General features: G+C 34.3%; 1 protein-coding gene and 1 long non-coding RNA gene across 26 annotated transcripts in view; one reads left to right on the forward strand and one right to left on the reverse strand.

The window, feature by feature from the left end:
• The window catches only part of PDE4D (phosphodiesterase 4D), a 1,553,091-nt gene that overhangs the window by 83,688 nt on the left and 1,467,684 nt on the right, over positions 1 to 1,719 (reverse strand). The window lies entirely within an intron of this gene.
• Positions 1 to 1,719, forward strand: part of PDE4D-AS1 (PDE4D antisense RNA 1) — a 23,745-nt gene that overhangs the window by 12,960 nt on the left and 9,066 nt on the right. The window lies entirely within an intron of this gene.

Here is a 1,719-nt window from a genome sequence, read left to right on the forward strand (position 1 = left end):
AAAATAGGGCTAAAAATACATTCCCTAGAAGGTGGCCTCCAGGCCATTTTCCCACACTTTATTTGAATGTTAAAACTAACTTTAATCTAAAAATCATATATTCATATCTCTATCTTTTTTGGCGGTTCAGTTCAACTTAAATGTGTTATTTGTTAAAAACTTGTAATTATCATCTATTACATGTAAAATATAAGAGCTGCTTTTAATAGTAATTCATCTCCTCCCTATCTTTTTTTAAAACATGGTCAAAATTAACAAAACAATCTTGTATTTTTGATACTAGTAGTGGTATCACTACTACTAGAGGTACAAGGACTCTTGTACCTCTCTGAAAAGTAGCATAATTAGCAACAGTATTGATGGTATCTGCTATTTTAGATTATTTAAACTGTAGTCACTAAGGTAAGCAAGGGGAAGAAGGCATGTCATTTATGTGTTTTTCATCCTTAAGATTAGCGTTTGGAAGCATATATTATTCCACAGCAATCTGGATAGGTCTTGCCATGCCCTGATCTTGTAAGCCCAAATTTTATTTTGAATACTCCAGCTTTGCACTTAAATGACAGCTCCTTGATAAAAGAAAAACAATTGCCTAACAATTTTCTTCCAATTGTCTGAAAACATAATGGGTGTACATACACACACACACACACACACACACACACACACACACACACACACAATCTCTAGGGCATATTTACTAGATAGTATTATGTAATGTGTAGACATTTTTAATTATGATAATTAAGACAAAAATATGTGTAGCAAGTTTTTGATTTGAGACAAATTTGAGATTTACTAAAATTATTATATGTGTGTCCTTCTGAAGACTTCATATTTTCATTATATATCTTCATTCTTGAAGTATAACTCTTAAATTGTTGAATTAAGTTTTATGAATTAAGTTGTTTTGTTTTTTGTTTTTTTTTGTTGTTGTTTTTTTTTTTTGGCCAGGCACGGTCGCTCATGCCTGTAATCCCAGCACTTTGGGAAGTCGAGGTGGGCAGATGACTTGAGGCCAGGAATTTGAGACCAGCCTGGCCATCAAAGCAAAACCCCATCTCTACTAAATCTAATCTTGTGCCTCAAGCGAGGCACAAGACTCACTTGAACCTGGGAGGCAGAGGTTGCAGTGAGCTCAGATCGTGCCACTGCACTCCAGCCTCAGGGACAGAGTGAGATTCTGTCTCAAAAGAAAAAAATTTTTTTCCATTTTTACCAATACCACTATTCTCAATTCATCCACTATTTCACTAGGAATTACTAATTCAGTTTACATAATTTATTCAATGAATAAATTATTCAATGAAGAAGCTTCTGGGTATTTAGGTGCTACATGCTAATTTCAATTGGCATATTTTGTTTTTCAAATTTGTTCTTGGTGACCCAATAATTATACCTGTCCACCTTGAAAGTGTCTTTCTTCATCACCTTCAAGGCCACCGCTAACAAGACCTTTGAAAAGAAGTAAACAGTAGAGAATTTCAACTTCTGTGATGACCACCGTCTTCTTCTGAATCCCCAGACTCCACTCATACAAGGTTTTGGGGAAGTTTAAATGAAATGAAGCAGTGGCTTACAAAGTTTATTGACAGTAAACTACAGTAAAATTTATATTTTATACTATAACCTGGTAGATTTGTTTAAAGTAAGAGGTGCTCACTTTTGAAGGCATGTGGATGCTGGCTTTCAGTAATATAAAAAAAATGTACAAAAAGG

The sequence above is a fragment of the Homo sapiens genome, chromosome 5 (assembly GCF_000001405.40).
Source record: "Homo sapiens chromosome 5, GRCh38.p14 Primary Assembly".
Classification (NCBI taxonomy): domain Eukaryota; kingdom Metazoa; phylum Chordata; class Mammalia; order Primates; family Hominidae; genus Homo; species Homo sapiens.